General features: G+C 39.4%; 1 protein-coding gene across 10 annotated transcripts in view; it reads left to right on the forward strand.

The window, feature by feature from the left end:
* GCSAML (germinal center associated signaling and motility like) overlaps window positions 1-19,378 on the forward strand; it is a 70,633-nt gene that overhangs the window by 30,758 nt on the left and 20,497 nt on the right. For 3 of the 10 annotated variants that reach the window (XM_047447035.1, XM_047447036.1, XM_047447037.1), the window contains 2 exons: window positions 11,202-11,405; window positions 18,592-18,651. The exons of 1 other annotated variant lie outside the window; for it this stretch is intronic. In XM_047447035.1, coding sequence (XP_047302991.1) covers window positions 11,377-11,405; window positions 18,592-18,651 — 89 coding nt within the window. In that variant the 5' untranslated portion in view covers window positions 11,202-11,376. Of the gene's footprint in view, window positions 1-860; window positions 977-11,201; window positions 11,406-18,591; window positions 18,652-19,378 lie in introns of those variants that run through there. 6 more of the 10 variants (NM_001281836.2, NM_001281837.1, NM_001281853.1 and 3 more) reach the window with 5 other exon arrangements.

Here is a 19,378-nt window from a genome sequence, read left to right on the forward strand (position 1 = left end):
TCAAGTCTTTTGCCTATTTTTTGATTGGGTTGTTTGTCTTTTTGTAAGTGTTCCTTATATACTCTGAATATTATACCCTTATGAAATACATGATTTGCAAATATTTTCTCTCGCTCTGTATATTGTCTTTTAACTCTTTTGACAATGTCTTTTTGATGAACAAAAGTTTCTAATTTTGATGAAGACTAATTTATCTATTTTTTTTGTTGTTGTTTTTGGTTTTCATGTCATATTTAACAAAACAGTGAGACTTCCAAGGTCATGAAAATGTACTTCTATGATTACTTCTAAGAGTTTATAATTTTTTGCTCTTTCATTTAGGCTTTTGATGTATTTTGAGTTACGTTTTGTATATGCTGTAAGGTAGGGTCCAACTTCATTCTTTAGCAGGTGTCTATCCAGTTGTGTTGAACTGGATATATGTGTTGAAAGGATTACACTTTCTCTATTGACACCCTTGTCAAAAATCAAGTGACATAAACCCATAGACGTATGTTAGCTAGTATCTAGTCTAATGGGTCCAAATATGAACCGTATTCTGAAGACTCTCTGAATTATATTCCTGGCCAGCACCTCTATGCCAAACTTCAGATTCACATATCTAACTGCCTATACTACAGCTTCATTTGGATGGTGTTATGAACTGAATTGTGCCCTACACCCATTCATATGTTGAAACCATAACCCACAATGTGACTATATTTGGAGATAAGGCCCTTAAGGGGATAATTATGAGTAAATGAGTTTATAAGAGTGGCAGCCTAATGTCATAAGATTGGAATACTTATAAAAAGAGTAAGAAATACTAGCTATCTTCCCTCCCTGCCTACCCCAGTCTCTTTCTTTCCACACATGCACAGAGGAAAGGCCAGATGAGGACACAGCAAGCAGGCAGATGGCTGCGAGCTGGAAGGGAAGCGTCATCAGAAACCAACCCTGAGGGTACCTTGATCTTGGACTTCCAGTCTCCAGAACTGTGAGAAAATACATTTCTGTTGCCCGCCACCACCCAGTTTGTGGTGTTTTGTTATGATATCTCGACCTGCCTAATACAGATGGCTAATGCAAAGCTCCAGTGCAACACTTTAGAAAACGAACCCTGTTGTACACCTGACCTCCTCCAGCTGCAGTCTCCTCTTCTCAGTTGATGACAACTGAGAACTCTATTCTTCCATTTGCTTAGTCCAGAAGCTTGGAGTCCATGTGGTTCCAAACCCATGGCACCGTATGCCAATCACTGAAATGATGAGTTTTGTGGCAGAGAATGAGTTTATTTATGAGGGAGTCAAGTGAGAAAGCAGGAGAACAGGTCTCAAATCAGTCTCCCTGAAAATGGGATTTTAGGGATATTTATGGGATAGAGGAGTGAGGTGGTCCAAGGTGTAGGAAAATGTGATTGGGGTAGGAAAAAATGAGGTAATCAGTAATCTGCTCAAATATAGTCAAACTTCATGGCTCTTCATAGCACACATGTTCACAAAATGGTGTCATTAACATGATCTGAGGGTGGAGTTTTGGGCACTGTGACATCTAAAGGTCACCCATTGGATATTCACGCAGGTCCAGTTGGGGACCAGTGGTTTCAGCTAGCTTGAACTGGACAAGAGTTGACCCTCGTTCCTGAAAAGAACTTAAGCAATCGTTACCACAGTGATCTATACATGAGAGATGTTATCTCTGAGGAAACTGGTGGCAGTTTTATTTTTTTTTATTATATATTGCTTAGCTACGTGACCTTTAGCTATGAAAATCTTAAAATAAACTAGAAACAAGTGACCGACTAAAAGCAAGCGACTAAAGCCAGTGAGGCAAGTTAAGTCTGGGCCTAATCAGGGGAGCCCTCGGCCTCAAACATTGACCCCTCTCATTTCCACGACCTCTGTTCCTCACATATAATCTGTCAGCAAATCCTTTTGACTCTATTTTTAAAGATATCCAGATTACAATCATTTTTACAACGAATCACCCTGTCTCAGCTAGATTACTTGTATTAAAATCACAACGATTTTACTTGAAAACGCTTCACTGACTTCCTACCTGACTCTGTAAATACCCCATGTTGTTTCATAATCCATGAGTATCTACTGTCTGCGCCTTCCCCCTCCACACACATTACCTCTCTGATCCCACTTCCCACCACTTCTCCCATTCCTCCCTCTACTGTAGCCTCACAGGCTTCCTCGCTCCTCAAAAACGCCAGGCTCTCACTTGCCATGCTGCTTTTAGCTCTGCTGGTTCCTCTGCCTAGAATAGTCTCTCTCTCTCTCTCTTTTTGATACAGAGTCTCGCACTGTTGCCTGGGCTGAAGTGCAGTGGCCCAATCTCAGCTTACTGCAACCTCTGCCTCCCGGGATTACAGGCATGTGCTACCACGCCTGGGTAATTTTTTGTATTTTTAGTAGAGATGGGGTTTCACCATGTTGGCCAGGCTGGTCTCGAACTCCTGACTTCATCATCCACCTGCCTAAGCCTCCCAAAGTGCTGGGATTATAGGCTTGAGCCACCACGCCCAGCCAGTTTCCATCTCTTAACAAGTGCTTGGCTGAGGCCTCACATCTGTCCTTAACCTTCACCTCAGAGGCATTTTCCCTGATGGTGTTACTTCGAATTGTCAAACTTATCCTTTTCCCACTTCTGCTCTATTTCTCTCCGGAGCACTGTTCAGCACGTATTGAAGCATTCTACATGCTTATTTTTACTTATGTGTCTTGTTCTGTCAGAATAGAAGCTCATGAAGGCAGTGGTGTCTACTTTGTTTCTTCTGCATCCCCAGTTTCCGAGCATGGGCACGAAGATGCAGCTTAATAAAGGAGTGCTGATGTGTGAGCAGATGTATGAACTGAAGGTGGGGGCAGTGACCACTGTGGGGATGCAAGAGCAAGTGGGGGAGGGAGGCCTTACTTTATTGCAAACGAGCAAGCTTTCTGCAACGCGTCAGAAGGATTAGAAAGGATAAGACTGCACTCCGGGTTTTGCAGTTTCTCTTTTCTTTTCAATTCACGTAGAATACAATCACTCCACTACCAAATATTTGTCATTCATGCATTTCCTAAACTGTAACCACCTGCAAGGAAAAAAACTCAAGAGCCTTTGAGAAAGTTGTAATGTCTTGCATATCCTCATTTTTATATGTTCTCTATTTCTGTTTAGAAGGCATTGAGTTACTGAGTATTAAAAATAAAAGAAACTGCTGAAAAGAATTTTTTTCAAAAATGACACAAATATTCTTTTAAGTGACAGTTACACTACTCAAGCCTTTTATTTTTTCATCCAGACATTTCTTTACCCATTTGGTCATAGTTTTGTCTAAACCTATGCTGGTTTAAATTATAAATCCTGTGACTATTTTCTTGCAAAAGCTTTTTCAATTTTTTTTTTCCTATTGAAGCTATTAAAACAACAAGGAAATGCCTCTTGCTAGTTAGAGCAATGCATTGCTTATAATTAATGTCTTTTGGCAATTTCCCAGCAACTGAGCTTCTCAGAACTCAAGTTTCCATGGTATATCCTTGAGCAAAGCAGTAGGTTTGGCCTCCCATGTCATATGGATCACAGTTGGTGGGGTAGAATATTGAGAACTAATTCAGCTATTCATTATATGTCGGTATTTTCCGCACGGTCTCATCATGGCCTATATGGAGTACTCAGTCTCATCCCCAAATGGCTGAAACTGGGGTGCAGATGGAACCAAGGTGGAGCCCAAATAAAAAATCAGGTCTCCTGCACACAGAAAATGAATGGTGTTTTCAAATCAAACTACAAGTCAAAAAACACACAGACACTCCAAATTTGAGATGTTGGCCTGAAACCCGGCTGCTTCTTGAAATAGAAAAACCCTTAGGTGAGCAGTAATAGGGATTTCTATTTTTAAGAATGGCAGAGGACTCCTAGAAAAGATGGATAGAAAAACCTGGCTGAGCACAGTGGCTCACATCTGTAATCTCAGCACTTTGGGAAGCTGAGGTGGGCGGATCACTTGAGGTCAGGAGTTTGAGACTAGCCTGCCCAACATGGTGAAAACCTGTCTCTACAAAAAACACAAAAATTAGCCAGGCATGGTGGTGCGTGCCTGTAGTCCCAGCTACTCAGGAGGCTGAGGAGGGAGAATCGCTTGAACCCAGGAGGCAGAGGTTACAGTGAGCCGAGATTGTTCCACTGCAGTCCAGCCTGGGCAACAGAGTGAGACTCTGTCTCAAAAAAAAAGAAAAAAAAAAAAGGAAAAAGAAAAGATGAATAGACAAACTAATAACTAATAAATATGCTTTTTGTGTTTTCATACCGCAACTAATTTATTTTAGAAAAAATGCAAGCCAAGCTGGGCATTGTGGTGCATACCTGTAGTCCCAGCTACTGGGGAGGCTGAGGCAGGAGGATCATTTGAGCCCAGGAGTTCTAAGCTTTAGCATGCTCTGATCATGCCTGGGAATAGCCAGTTCATCTCAGCCAGGGCTACACAGTGAGACCTTGTCTTTTAAAAAAAGGAAGAAAGAAGTAAAAAGCAAAGAAAATGAAAGAAAATGTATGCCAGTATGATATTTTCAATGCAAAGTAACTCCTTGTAGAATACTGGTGGTCCAAGGAGCAGCATATGGAAAAGGTGGAAGGAAATAATTGCACAGAAAATCCCAAAGTGGATCATTCAGTTCTTGTAGGTATATTTTGTTCTAGACTTTGCATTTTTAAATGTACTTTGAGTGTCCAAATACCTCAAATAGAAGAGCGAATTGCTCTCTAGGTTTTGGGTTTATGCAAACCTGAAATTTTCAGTATCAATAAAATCTTTAAATTTTACTTGCTACATACTTCATGAAGGGAGATGTTGCTTGACATTTTAATTTTACCTAAACTAAGCCTGAAACAGGTTATTTTTTAAACTACAGTATCTAGTCACCCCTGTGATGTGAAAGCTCCTCTTCTACAAAGAATGTCATGAATTTAGCAAACAAGGGCTTCTAATTTAATGACTATTTGACTAGAATTATTAAAATTCTACTTAGTCCAAAATAAAATTACCAAGAAGAATATGTAAAATACGTAGGAAATAAAAAATAGAATTTGCCCCAGATAATCAGTGGAGGAGTAATTGTCTACAGTTAGTTGGCAGCAAGCTGCATGAGACCTGGTAGAAGACAGAGGATCTGTGTAGAGCTGTAGACCAGAATAATATGAGGAAGCACATATTCTGCAACCAAATATCTGTCCTTAGCTTCCCTAACTGCAGGATCTAATCAACAGCGGAGTCAGCAGGGAGCACCAAGCTGGCCTTACTCAGTCTCAGGGCTAGAATCAGTGCCCTTGAAAACAAGGCTAAAGAAATGCCCATCGTTTGGATATAATATAAGTAATTGTCTCTAGTACAGTATGTCTTTCAATTGGAAGCATAAGAACAAGATGTTCAAAGTTGTTATTAAGCATGTGTCAAAGCATTAGTTATTGATATATTAGTATTTATTGTTATGGTAGCCCCCCTTATCAGTTACCCACAGTGTACTACAATAAGGTATTTTGAGAGAGACAGAACACACATTCAAATAGCTTTTATTACAGTATATTGTTATAATTGTTCTATTTTTTATTATTAATCTCTTGCTGTGCCTAATTTATGAATTAAACTTTATCATAAGTATGTATAGGAAAAACATAGTATATACAGGGTTCCGTAGTATCCACGGTTTCAGGCATCCACTGAACTGGGAGGGTCTTGGAAATTATCCCCCATGGATAAGGCGGAACACTGTATTATAGTAATTATCGTGGACAAAGCAGAAAGTCAAAAGAGCTGGTTCTAAAAGCATTTGAATAATAGGGACTTATATGGAGTTACTCCAGAAACAAATACCCAAACTAAGATTACTAAATTATATATGAATTTATTTAACTTTCTACTTAAAATAAATCAAAACTACTTGCTTCTCTACCAGCCATAAGTTATTGGTAGTAACTTATCAATTTCTGCAGGTTAACCTCTAATCTTATTAAAAAAATTTTTTTAGAGACAGAGTCTCACTCTGTCACCCAGGCTGGAGTGCAGTGGCATGATCATAGCTCACTGCAGCTTCAAACTCCTGGGCTCAAGGGATCCTCTAATATCAGTCTCTGGAGTAGCTGGGACTGACTACAAGTGTGCGTCACCCTGGTTTAACTTCTAATTTTATGTGAACAAGAGAACCTTTATAAGTTGCTAATTCTTATGTCAAACAATTAAAACAATGGGCACCAGAGCATTGAAAAACAAGCTGAGTTGATCACTGATAAAGGATAGGACCACATGTCACTAAAAGAAACACACCAAGCAGGCTGCTGAATGAAAACTTCATGTGAGGTTGTAGAGAGAGAGCTCATGATGGCTGTGCTGATGAAAGGTCGAAATTTTGCATGCTTGGAAGGACAGAATTAGGCCACAGATCTGTAGACAGCTTGTTAAACCGAATTGTATCATTCATCAGTCAGGAAAACATTTTTAGTTAGGTCCTGATTCTAAAAGAGTTGGTAAATAAGACCTCTCCAAGTTTTTCAACACTATTAGCTTTGGGTTTTATATCCTTCGAAGTTTCTGTTCATATAACAGCTTCTGCCCGGCAGCTGCACGTAGGGAAACACAACTCTCAGCTGTGATATATTCAGGCAAGTGGTGTCATAAAGAGAAACCTTCCATTTAGATTTGCAAATATATTGTGACCACAAAGGTACATTCCCCACAAGTTCCACATGAGGATCAATTAGGCTAATGAGAAAATTCTTGTCTGGGCAGGGTGGCTCACACGTATAATCCCAGCACTTTGAGAGGTGGGTGGATCGCTTGAGCCCAGGAGTTCAAGACAACATGGCAAACATGGAAACATGGACAACAGGGCAAAACGCTGTCTCTACCAAAAAAAACAAAAACAATAATTATCTGGGCATGGTGGCATGCCCTGTAGTCCCAGCTACTCGGGAGCCCAAGGCAGGAGAATCACTTGAGCCTGGGAGGTTGAAGCTGCAGTGAGCAAAGATCACACGCTGCACTCCAGCCTGGGCAACAGAGCAGGACCTGTCTTAAAACAAAAACAAAACAAAACAAAAACAAAAAAGAACTTTTTTTAGTATGAAATAATAACAACAAATAACCAAGCAATCTTCATTTTGCCTTTTACCAAATTTGAGGTAATTTTTTTCTATCATACAACAAATACAACAAGATTTAAATGTAGTCAAGCAATGACATTGAAAACATTTGAAGCCAAATATCCCATTTGGTGAAATGCTAGCTTTTTCATTGGTTAATTCTCATCTTATTGGTCATTCCTTAAAAATGAAATAATTGAGTCAGATTTGAGAGTTTGTTTCTCTACCCTGTACTTAGGTAAGGAATTGGTTTTGGTTCCAATATTATCTGCAAATGAGCAGGGACTCGCTGTCAACAGGTATGCCCTGTTTCAGTGCACGTGCTTGGTCTGGCCCCATGCCTTGCAGGACTGACTGAGACAAGATCTCCTACTCCTCTGGTGGGCAACTCCTGTTGTAGATTTAATATTACAAATATGTACAATTTTTTATATAGGCAAATTTGCCAGCTAGTATTAACAATTATAAGCACTGTCAATAATACTGTCAGGATTTATTTGTAAGAATATTAACTGTAGCATTATTGCAACAGAAAAACTGGACATAACAACAAAAAAAGAACTGGTTGAAAACTATCATTATGATGATTATGCAAAGGGGTACTTTGCACCCATTAGTAATGATGTTAAGAAAATGTATTTAATCATAGTCATCCTAACAGGTATGAGAGCCCTCATCGTGGTTTTGATTCATATTTCCCTAATAATTAGTGATGTTGAGTATCTTTTCAAAGACCTCTTGGCCATTTGTATGTCTTCTTTGGAGAGGTGTCTATTCAGTACCTTTGCCCATTTTCAAAATTGGGTTATGTTTGTTTATTTAGTTATTTTTGCTATTGAGCTGTGTGAGTTCCTTAAATTTTTTGGTAATTAACCCCTTATTAAATATACGGTTTGCAAATATTTTCTCCCACTCCATAGGTTGCCTTTTCATTCTCATTGTTACAGCATAGTATCTCTAGTTAAACATAAGGTATTGTGTACTTAACAATTCGTCAAGAGTGTAGATCTCATGTTAATTGTTCTTACTACAAAAAGAAAAAAGAAAAAATCACGAAGAGCTACAAGGAAACTGTCGGAGATGATAGATATCTTTATTACCTTGACTGTGGTGATGGTAGCATAAATGTACGCATATGTCCAAACTCATCAAATTATGTACATTAATTATATTCACGTTCTTTTATATCAATATATCAACAAAGCTAGGAAAGAAAGAAATAAATTTTTGTTTGTTCGTTTTGTTTTGTTTTGTCTAATGATGGGACGGTTTCGCTCTGTTGCTCAGGCTGATGTGCAGTAGCTATTCACGGGCATGATCATTGCACACTACAGCTTCGAACTCCTGGGCTCAAGCAATCCTCCTGCTTCAGCCTCCCAAGTGGATGGGACTACAGGCACATGCTACCACACCTGGCTGAGAAAATGGTCTTTATTTTTTATTTATTTTTATTTTTTTGAGACGAGTCTCGCTCTGTCACCCAGGCTGGAGTGCAGTGGCGCGATCTCGGCTCACTGCAAACTCCGCCTTCCGGGTTCACGCCATTCTCCTGCCTCAGCCTCCCGAGTAGCTGGGACTACAGGTGCCCGCCACCACGCCTGGCTCATTTTTTGTATTTTTTTTAGTGGAGACAGGGTTTCACTGTGTTAGCCAGGATGGTCTCAATTTCCTGACCTCATGATCCACCCGCCTCGGCCTGCCAAAGTGCTGGGATGACAGGTGTGAGCCACCGCGCCCGGCTGAAAATGGTCTTTAAAACTGTATTTTATGGCATGATAACACTTATGTGCAAAGGATGATCCTATTTTTGGAAACTTTTAAATCAATGGGTGCATGTTTGTTTTCACAAAGCAAGGATGATAAATGTGTGCACCAGAATTCACAAGGGGGCTGGATGTGGTGGCTCAAGCCTGTAATCCCAGCACTTTGGGAGGCCAAGGCAGGAGGATCGCTTCAACTCAGGAGTTTGAGACCAGCCTGGGCAACGTAACAAGACCTTTTCTCTACTAAAATTAAAAAAAAAAAAAAAAAAGATTAGCCTAGTGTGATGGCACACACCTGTGTTCCCAGCTACTTGGGGGATGAGGAGGGAGGATCGCTTGAGTCTGGGAGGTACAGGCTGCAGCTGAGCCCTGATCATGCCATTGTACTCCAGCCTGGGCAACAGAACAAGACCCTGTCTCAAAGACAAAAACAAACAAACAAAAAAGCACAAGAAGGTAGTTGAGGGTAGTAGGATTCTGGGTTATTTAAATATTTTATTTTTTCTTATTTGTACTTAATTTTCTACATGGCATTGAGAACTTAAATCAAGTTGAATATTGTGCATGTCTTTGTTCTCAAACAGCAGCCATGGCCATAATAATGGCAGGATACCTACGGCTTACTGAGACTCCCTTTCACGTAGCTCCTATCCATTCTGCAGATGGAGAACGTGAGTTCCAGGAGATTTGTTTACCAGACCAATTTATGCTAGGATGGGACAGAATGGGAGTTAGAGGTGCTGAAAAGATGGAAACCTTTCGTGTTACCACATTTCTGTCATTCGGTGACTAAAAACTAACATGGAGCTACTTACTTGAGCATTTGAGGATTAATGAGCTTATTTGTGAGTAATCAGATAAGAGAAACAAAGATTTATTTCAGTAGCTCTCAAATTTTAGTAGGGAACAGGAGGAATCCACCCCTGAGAGTTTCTGATTCAGCAGGTTTTAGGTGGATCTTGAGAGTTTGCATTTCTAATAAGTTCTCAGAGATGCCGGTGTTTCTGGTCAAGGACAGCAATGGCGGAACACGCTTCTTAGTGCCTTTACCGCTCCATGGATTGGCTGGAGTGGCATCACCTGGGAACTTGTTAGAAAGGCAAAATATTGATCCCAGTTTGAAAGAGTCAGAATCTGCATTTTAACAGGATCCTCGGGTGATTTGCTTACATGAGAAAGTTTGGGAAGCAGCACTTTGGTACATAGGTTGTCACATACGAATTAGATAAATCATAAATCTGAAATGGGGTGTGTGACATTCCTGCTTGTAATATATTTTTCTCATGTTTATAATCGATAAATAAACAATACAAAACTTATAAATAATGATAAAGCACTCCAGACTCCTGAGTTCTGCTGCTGGTTAACAGTCAATTAAACTTCCTCAGTCCTGATTTCCTCATTGGGAGAAAAAAAGAGTTGGAATAGGTGAGCATATAGTTTCTGATTTCAGCAAATAGATTTTGTGTTGGTTGGAAGCTGAAGAAAATCAACCACCTGTGGTATAAATCCTTCGGCAGGAGACATCATGAATAAGCGATTTCAGTCTCCTGACAGCCACGGCTCAGAGTCAGCTGTTAGCTGATCTCCTGCCGCTGATATTGTGGCCTCGAAATTATCACTAGAACCAGCTTGTGCTTTGTGGCTCTGGTGGGCAGCCTAGGGGAGGAAGTGGGGGACCAGATGCTGGCAACAGGTCTTCCAGGCCCTGCATTTTCCCCATTGTCATGTTAGTCTTTGAGCTGACAACCAGAACAATGGCTTCTTAACCTACCCCAAATAATTTTGATAACCTTCTATTCTCATCCTTTTTTTTCCTTTTTCTTTCCCATCTTGTCTTTGAAAGTATCAGACCTCTGAGGAAAGGCTATTGACATTTGATCTGATTATCGTTGCTAGAGCCACAAAGAGAAATTTTATTTCTAACGTTGTTTTTTTCTTTTCCCCAAGAAGAGGCTTTCTCTTTGTATGTTTGGAAGAGGACAACATATTTGGAATCTTGAGATCTCAGATCTCTGTAATGAGCAGTTTGCCTAAGAAATCATGAATCCAGATTAATCACTTTTATTCCAGCAAAAATGCAACTCTCTTATTGCATTGTGTAATCTTATTATTATGCTCACTTCGGAGGAATAGGGAAGTCCTTACCTTGTTTCGTCTTGCAATACTAGAATTTCCTTGAAAGCAAAGTGAACCTGGAGTGATAGATTCACTTTCATGTTTCAGCCTGATTTTTTCCCACTGTATGCCCACGCGTGTGTGTATGAGTGTGTGTGTGTGCGTGCAGGCACACACACGCACACTCACATTTTCCTTTCTGCCTCCCCTTTCGAGCTCTTCCTGCCTTCTCTATCATGCGCAGGCCCCTGGCAGCTCGTGGTTGGCAAGAGCACGAACCCGTGGTCAGATGCAACGTCCTGCCTCATGCATTTTCCTCTTGGTGCTTTGGTCAGAACTTCCCCAAGTGGAGTGAAACTCAGGAGCTGAGAAACCGAGTCACTGTGAAAAGATGGGAAATTATCTCCTGCGAAAACTCAGGTGAGTCTTGACTCTTGGTGCCGCCTTTCTTGGGAGAAAGAGAACAGAGATAAGGAGGCTGGACATAACGCATTTGTAATGGTGAGGTACATTGTGCTTCTAGAAGGTTAAGCCTGAAGACAGCATCCTCTAGGAGCACACAGTGACGCCCAGTTGGCTCCTTCTCTTGCCTTACTCTGGAACAATGATAGGTTGCCAGATGTAGAAAACAAAAATACTGGATGCTAAGTCACATTCAAATTCCAGAAAAACATTTTTTTTTTTAGTATGAATGTGCCTCATATAATATTTTGGGCATTATAACATGGGTTGTACTTTACTAAAAAGTTATTCATTGTTTATCTGAAATTCAAATTTAGCAGTGCATCTTGTATTTCATCTGGCAACCCTACACAATTGTCACTTGAATTTTCCTGCTTCTCTTTTTCTTCATGTGGGTGTAGAGCTTAACTTTCCATCCATCAGCTTCGTGGGTTGGTATGAGAATGAACAGTTAGGTCCTTGCAAATTATGGATGCGGGATATGCATTTGAATGCCTTTGACTTTAGTCACACCTTTTTTGGTAATGTTTAGCCTTACACTCTTCCAATACTTCATAATTTATAGAATGTGTACAGATAACAGGCATTATTGTTCTTACATCTTGCTTAATCTTAAATGATGGGCTCTACAGCATCCCACTCCTCTGTCCGCTCTCCCAGTCCCCTTCCAGACAATCTTGCATATGACGTGACTACATTGATAGACCCAAGGCAAAACTCTCATCATATCGCTCCTGTGCTCCAGTGGGTACCATGTAGAAATATGACTGGACAAAAAGGGTATGACCTAACGCTAATAGACGGAGTGGAAAATCCCAGCAAGTCTTGTTCTGTCTGTTTAGATTCTTCTTGACCTCTCTGTGCAGCGTTCCTTACTTACGGGTATGGGGCAGAGGACTCTCTGGAATGGGGGCTTATGACCTACAGTCAAACAAAGTAGGTCAGAGAAGCTGTCTTTATGAGGCAGCAGATTGGCTTCCCCACACCTGATGGTTCATACCGTCTCCTTTCACCAGGTTAAATAGTTCAGCTGTCCCTTGATGTCTTCATTTAGTCTTTCAGTAAATTGCTATTTGTTAAAGAGCTTAAGGGTGGCTGGGCACGGTGGCTCATGTCTGTAATCCCAGCACTTTGGGAGGCCGAGGCGGGTGGATCACGAGGTCAGGAGATCGAGACCATTCTGGCTAACACGGTGAAACTCCGTCTCTACTAAAAATACAAACAATTAGCCGGGCGTGGTGGTGGGCACCTGTAATCCCAGCTACTCGGCAGGCTGGGGCAGGAGAATGGCGTGAACCCGGGAGGCGGAGCTTGCAGTGAGCCGAGATCCCGCCACTGCACTCCAGCCTGGGCGACAGAGCAAGACTCTGTCTCAAATAAACAAACAAACAAAAAAAAATGCTTAAGGGTTCATGGATGGAGAAGGGCCATCAAAGTTCAGGATGAGCATGAGTCTGGGCAGTAGATGGAGGACAAATGACACAATTGTGCTGAGAGGTAAATTCAATTATTTACCCTAAAGAAAAAATGTTTCCCTTCTTTTAAAGTTAAGCAATATTTATGGAAAGCCTAGGTAAGACAATGGTCTTGGTCGCAAGAAAAAATTAAACATGGAAGGAAAATGGATATGGAAGCAAATTTTAAAAATGGATAGGCCCCTTCAGAGAACATCGTACTTAATCACTCTGACTCAGCTTTAAAAAAATAGACATTACGTGGCTCAGATAATTAAAATTGAGAGAGAATTAAAACTTGTCAAGGTTGCCTTTGCTATAAAATTATGAATCTTACATGTAATTTATGATGTCAAGTCATCCGTCATTTCCATTACACCACAATGGCTTCTTTTTAAGATAAGGCAGGTGCTAATGTGTTCTAGGCAGAAGCACAAACAGCGCACTGTAGAAATAAAAGGAAGGAAGGAAGGGAATTCTGGTTTGGGATAGCAGGAAGGAAGGACATGCTTGAGGAATTGCCATTTGGATTGTGCTGTAAATGTTAGGCAGACTTACAAAGCAGGAAAAGATGGTCCAAGCTGAAGGGACAACCTGTGAAAATGTATGAGTTTCAAGTGTATGGTATTACTGTCAATAATTGGAGCATATTGTTCAGAGATGACTCCAGTAGCAGAAGAAGTTGAGAATGAAGCTGGGGGTCTGATAATGAAGGGCCTTCAAAGGCACGTAGAAAGTGGTAAGCAGTGAACATTTATAAGCTGGAGAAAAATGCAATGTGGCATGTATTTTAGGAAGAAATGTCTATGCTCAGTGAGTATGGAGGAATGACACAGAGAGAAATAGACAATAAGCTCTTAAAATATACCAAAGAAGATGCAGGGGCAAAAGGAAAACTTCCCCTTTGCTCCCTGAAGGTTCTCTGAAATCAGCTGAGAAAAGGCAGATTAATAGGACAAAAGGCAAATTTATTGATCATCGTTTTATGTGACACAGGAACCTCAGAATGAAGACCCAAAGATGCAAAGGAAACTGTCCATTTCTATGCTTAGGTTCAACAAATTTTGGATAGCCATGTGGAAATATGATTGGACAAAAAGGATATGACCTAATGCTAATAGACAGAGTGGAAAATCCCAGCAAGTCTTGTTCTGTCTGTTTAGATTCTTCTCGACCTCTCTGTACAGCATTCCTTACTTATGAGTATGGGGCAGAACACTCTCTGGAATGGGGGCTTATGACCTACAGTCAGACAAAGTAGGTCAGATAATGTCTTTATGGCTGGTTCTTACACAGAAAGATACAGGGAAAGTTAGAGTCATCTTACTAATTTTATGGCTGGCTTTGGGGAAAAGAGGTTCTGGTTTCTATCAATCACCTTGGGGAAGAGGGATTCTAATTTCTATGGCTAGCCCTGGGTAGGAAAGAGTTGTCACAGAGAGGAGGGCAGGAGAAAGAGAGCTGCTTCTGAGGCTTTTATTTTGGAGTATCATTTTCTGAGCCCCAACAAAGAGATGGTAAAGAGCTGAAATTCATCAGGAACAACCAAAATGAAGAGGAAATTCAGTGAAAGTAAATGCATTCCCAAGGAGTCACCTTGGTGTGTGTCAGTCATTGGGATCACAGATGTGGTGTGAGAGAAGGCTGGAGAATGGCCTCTAGAACACGGATGCAGAGAGCCTCCTGTTGCTCTGACCCTGCTTGTCAGAGGCCTGTTACCTTGGGCAGTGCCTAATTTGCAGCCTGATAATTGGCTGCAGATGAGTCTGGGGAAGGTAGCTGCTGCTTTCTAGCCCCTGACTAGCAAGAGGGTGAAGTAAATGTAGACATCGCCCATGGGCAGTGTCCATCACATACCCTCTTTAGTCTTTATTTCAAAATTGATTTAGTTCTTTGAAGACTTTATCCTCCCATATAAATTTGTACACAAATTCTGAATTTGTGTATTATATAAAAAGTGCCAGCTTGAATTTGGATTCAGACAACATTGTGAATATAGAGATCTATTTGCAAATTCTTCTATGTTTATGCAGATGTACTATATGTATATATATTTTGAGATGGAGTCTTGCTCTGTCACCCAGGCTGGAGGGCAGTGGCATGATCTCGGCTCACTGCAACCTCCACCTTCCAGGTTCAAGCGATTCTTCTGCCTCAGCCTACCGAGTAGCTGGGACTACAGGCACGCACCACCATGCCCGTCTAAGTTTTGTATTTTTAGTGGAGACGGGGTTTCACCATATTGGCCAGGCTGGTCTTGAACTCCTGACCTTGTGATCTACCTGCCTCGGCCTCCTAAAGTGCTGGGATTACAGGCGTGAGCCACTGCGCCTGGTCTATGCAGATATACTATTAATACACCAATCAAAACAATTATTTATAATTATCTTTATTCAAATCTTCTTTAATGCATTCTGATAGAGCTTTAATTTTTTGTTTTTATTTTATTCTTTGTTAGATAGATTTCTAGATACCATATGCAACAGTAATAAATCTATGAATGACATTTTTTCCTAGCCTGTTATTGTTGGAATGCTATTGAATTTTGCAAGATGACTTTGTATCCACTAGCCTTGTTGAATTTCTCATTTTTTTTCATGGTTTTTTAATCCTACTGGGTTTACATAGTTAATATATCATCTATAAAGTTAAAGATTTTTCTATTCTTTTTTTGTTCCTTACAAGTCTTATAGGTACCTTTATCATGTTTTATAGCATAGTTATGTCAGAATTCTTAGGCATCATTTTCTTGTAACTGATCATAATAATTTTTTTCTAAATTGTTTTCATCAAGGTTGCTGTATATTTTTGACATTTATATTTGGCATTTATGTTTTTGGCATATTGCCTCTATCAAAATAAGGAGATTCTACTTTTTAAAAAAATATGTAGAGATGAGATTTCACTATGTTGCCCGGTCTGGAGTGCAGTGGCTATTCACAGATGCAATCAGAGTGCACTACAGCTTTGAACTCCTGGCCTCAAGTGATCTTCCTGCCTCAGCCTCCCAAGGAGCTGGGATTACAGGCCTGCACCACTGCACCCAGCTCTTCTGAGGGTTTTTATTGTTAATAAGGACCAAACATTATCAAATGCAGTTTTAAACTATTGAGATAACCTCATGATTCTTCTCTTAGGCTTCTAAAGTAGTTAATTATGTTAATAAATATTTTTGCTAATTACCTATCTTTTAATTTCTGGGATAAAACCCATTTGATTGTGATGTGTGCAATTTTACTATAGTTTTAGATTTAGTTAACTTATATTTTATTGAGGATTATTGCATCTATTTTCATGATCGAGTTGGACCTGTGATTTTTAAAAATTTGATTTATTTAATTTGAAATGAAAGTTTACCAATCTCATTAAATGGGTTGGCATCATTTTACATTTCTCTACTTTCTGGAACATCTTATATATGAGAGAGTATATTTGTCACTTGAAGTTTGGTAAATTGTGTACGCAGCTGTGTAAGCTGGATTTTTTTGTTATTGATGTTATTCATGTGTCAGTTTTTATATTTCATTTTTTCCAAGATATTATTCATTTTAAGCCATAATGTTTATTATACATAATTCTTCATCATGCCTGTTTTATGTCTGTAATACTTATTTTGAACTTTCTGTTTTCATTATATTTTTGTCTCCATTCCTTATTTCTTTAGTTGGTCTTTCCAGACTTTTGCTATCTTACTGATATTATTCTTTTCTAAGATTTGGTTCCCTATCATATTTATTTTTACCCACAACTTTCTTGTTTCCTTTTTCTTCTCCCAACTTCTTAAGATAAATGCTTACTTTGTCATTATTAGTCATTTATGTTTTCTTATGAATGTATTTTAGCAAGCTATTTTCTTCACACTTCACTTTATCCTTCAAATAGTCTTGTGTAGCTTGCATTATTATTTTATTCTGTGTTTTTAGAAAGTTCCTTTATGATTCCCTCTTTAACATAAGGATTATTTAGAATATTACTTGTGCCTAGACAGGTACACTTTTGGTTATAGCTTATTGGGTTTTAATTTTACTGCTTGATAGTTGGAGAAATCATGTGCAAATTGTTGATTTTGGGGGATGTTTACTAAGACTTTCTTTGTAGAGTTATGAAGTCATAAGTCAACATCCAACATTTAGAAAGTTTAAAAATAAGAAGAAAAAACACAGAAGGTATAAAAAATTATTCATAATCTTAATTCTTTGGCCAAGATACATCTAAAGCTTAATAAAATACCTATTTTTGAAAACAATAGAGTATTAGTTGATTTATTAATTTGGTCAACAAATTTTTGTACATCACCTATGGCCTGATATTATCTGAATTCCTCTGGATTAAGAAAAACACTTTTTACTTTATTCACAGTAGAATTTAGTATCCAGTTATATTCAGTAATATTAATGGTGTGGAATTCCAATTAGGTCCCTACTGATGTTAAATACTTTTCCTGTCTTGTTTTCAACTTTAAAATACAAACATCCTTTAGATGTGTAAGTCAATGAATCACTAATAACCCCAAGGACAATTATTTTACCAAATTCTTTCTTTATTGACCAGTTTAGGAAGATGGAATCGTGAGAAAACTAGACTCCAGGAAAAGGGGAAAAAAGGAGACAGTTAAATTACTTTTTACCTGATTTACAATCTACACTATTAAATAAACATTACATCCAGATTTGACTGTGATCGTGACTATTATACAAAATCTCTACATCAGCAACTGATTCTATAAAAAGCCCCCACCTCTGTAAATTGATATTCCTTTATATTTAACAAATATATTCTTTGCTTAGTGGCTTTGTGTGTTGATATCTAGCAATGTTTCTTGAACATATACATATGACCTCTATTCAGGGAAGGCACTTTCTCAGCGTTGGTTCGAAATGCTTTCCCCGAATACTGCTGGTAAGCAGAAGTGAGGCTCTTATATGCAAAGCTACCTAGAAGCAGAAGGATAGACCAGTGCTGCAGAAGTGACAATAGAGGAAAAGAAAACCATCAAGGAAATGCTATGTGTGGACAACTGGTGGAGTAGAAAGTTTGATTAACCAAGTCACAAACATAAGCTGCTAACTATTGTGTTAACCACGCAAATCACCTGATTTCTCTAACTTCGTCATTTAGTGTTTGCCTGATTATCATAAAGATGATGATAATTGATGGCAAAACACCAAGAGTAATATGAAAAAGTCAGCTTTCCTGAATGTATGTAAAGATCCCAATGTCTTATCTGCACATGGATGCCCACATGCAGCAGGGCCCAGAGACGCTTGCTCTGGTTCAGTGGGCCAAGACTGGCAGTCCTCATAGTCCACAAAGGTGTGTACAAGCAGATCATCTTGCCTCAGGTTGTTGCAAAAGTGATGCTTCCCTGTTGTTAAGGTCTTTATAGCTTCCTGGGAGCTCTCACCTCTTCTAGAGATGCAGGAAGTTTGCATGTTGGGTCACAAGAAATCCTAAGACTGACAGAATCAAAAGTCAGACTATGGGCATTCTGTCCCATCAGAGTCCTGGTCTCTGTGGTTAATTTCTGAAATGCATTCTATCTGTGACTGCTTATTGATTTTGAAGGAAAGGGAAGTTTGTCAAAAAGAAAAGTCAGGTTTGGTTTTAATGGTCTAGAAAGTTAGAGAAGAAGGTGAAAAAATGTGGAGGGCAGTAACAATCTCTCTTTTTTCTTATGTGTTTCCATATAGTTGCCTGGGAGAGAATCAAAAGAAGCCCAAGAAAGGAAACCCAGATGAGGAAAGAAAACGGTAAGAACAGAGCATCTCAGAGTTTTTTTGTTTTGTTTTGTTTTGTTTTTTCATTGAGATTACTTCCAGAGTCTCTGCCCCACTAGAACTAACACCCCTTAGGGCCGCTATAATAGAGTTCTTTGGTGATTACCTGCATGACTTGGCAGCAGGTTAGACATTGACTCTGTCTAAATAAGAAAGACAGGGTATTAGCCACGTGTTTTGTTTCTATTGATTATATAATGTGAGTGTAGAAACATAAAGATAGAATAAAGGATGTTTGGTTTTGGTTGGTTATATGTGGTGGCCATATTTCCCACCTTTTCCTTACAAGTAGCCAGAATAATCTTTGGAAAACATGTCTCATTATGCCTTTTCCTTGCCCGAGACCATTCAGTCATTCTTCATTGCATTCAGAATAAAATGCAAACTCTTCACCAGGGCCTACAGTTCCATAAGGATTGGATTCTGCATCTCTCCCATCTGGTTCCTCACTCTCTACCTTCACCCACTATCTTACATGCATTCTCCTTTTATTTGATGTTCTTTAAGCCACCAAACTCAGCCTCACTTTAGGGCATTTCTACAAGCTGGTCTTTTACTGCACAATTAAAAAAAAATTCCATATTTGCATTTGGACTGATTGATAACGTCTCCTCCTGGAGATGCTGGCCCTCATGCCCTTCTCTGAAAGATTATGGAGGAACTTTGCTTCTGCACCGCATGGTTTTATGGCACTAGAACC

This window comes from Homo sapiens, chromosome 1 (genome assembly GCF_000001405.40).
Source record: "Homo sapiens chromosome 1, GRCh38.p14 Primary Assembly".
In the NCBI taxonomy this organism is placed as follows: Eukaryota; Metazoa; Chordata; class Mammalia; order Primates; family Hominidae; genus Homo; species Homo sapiens.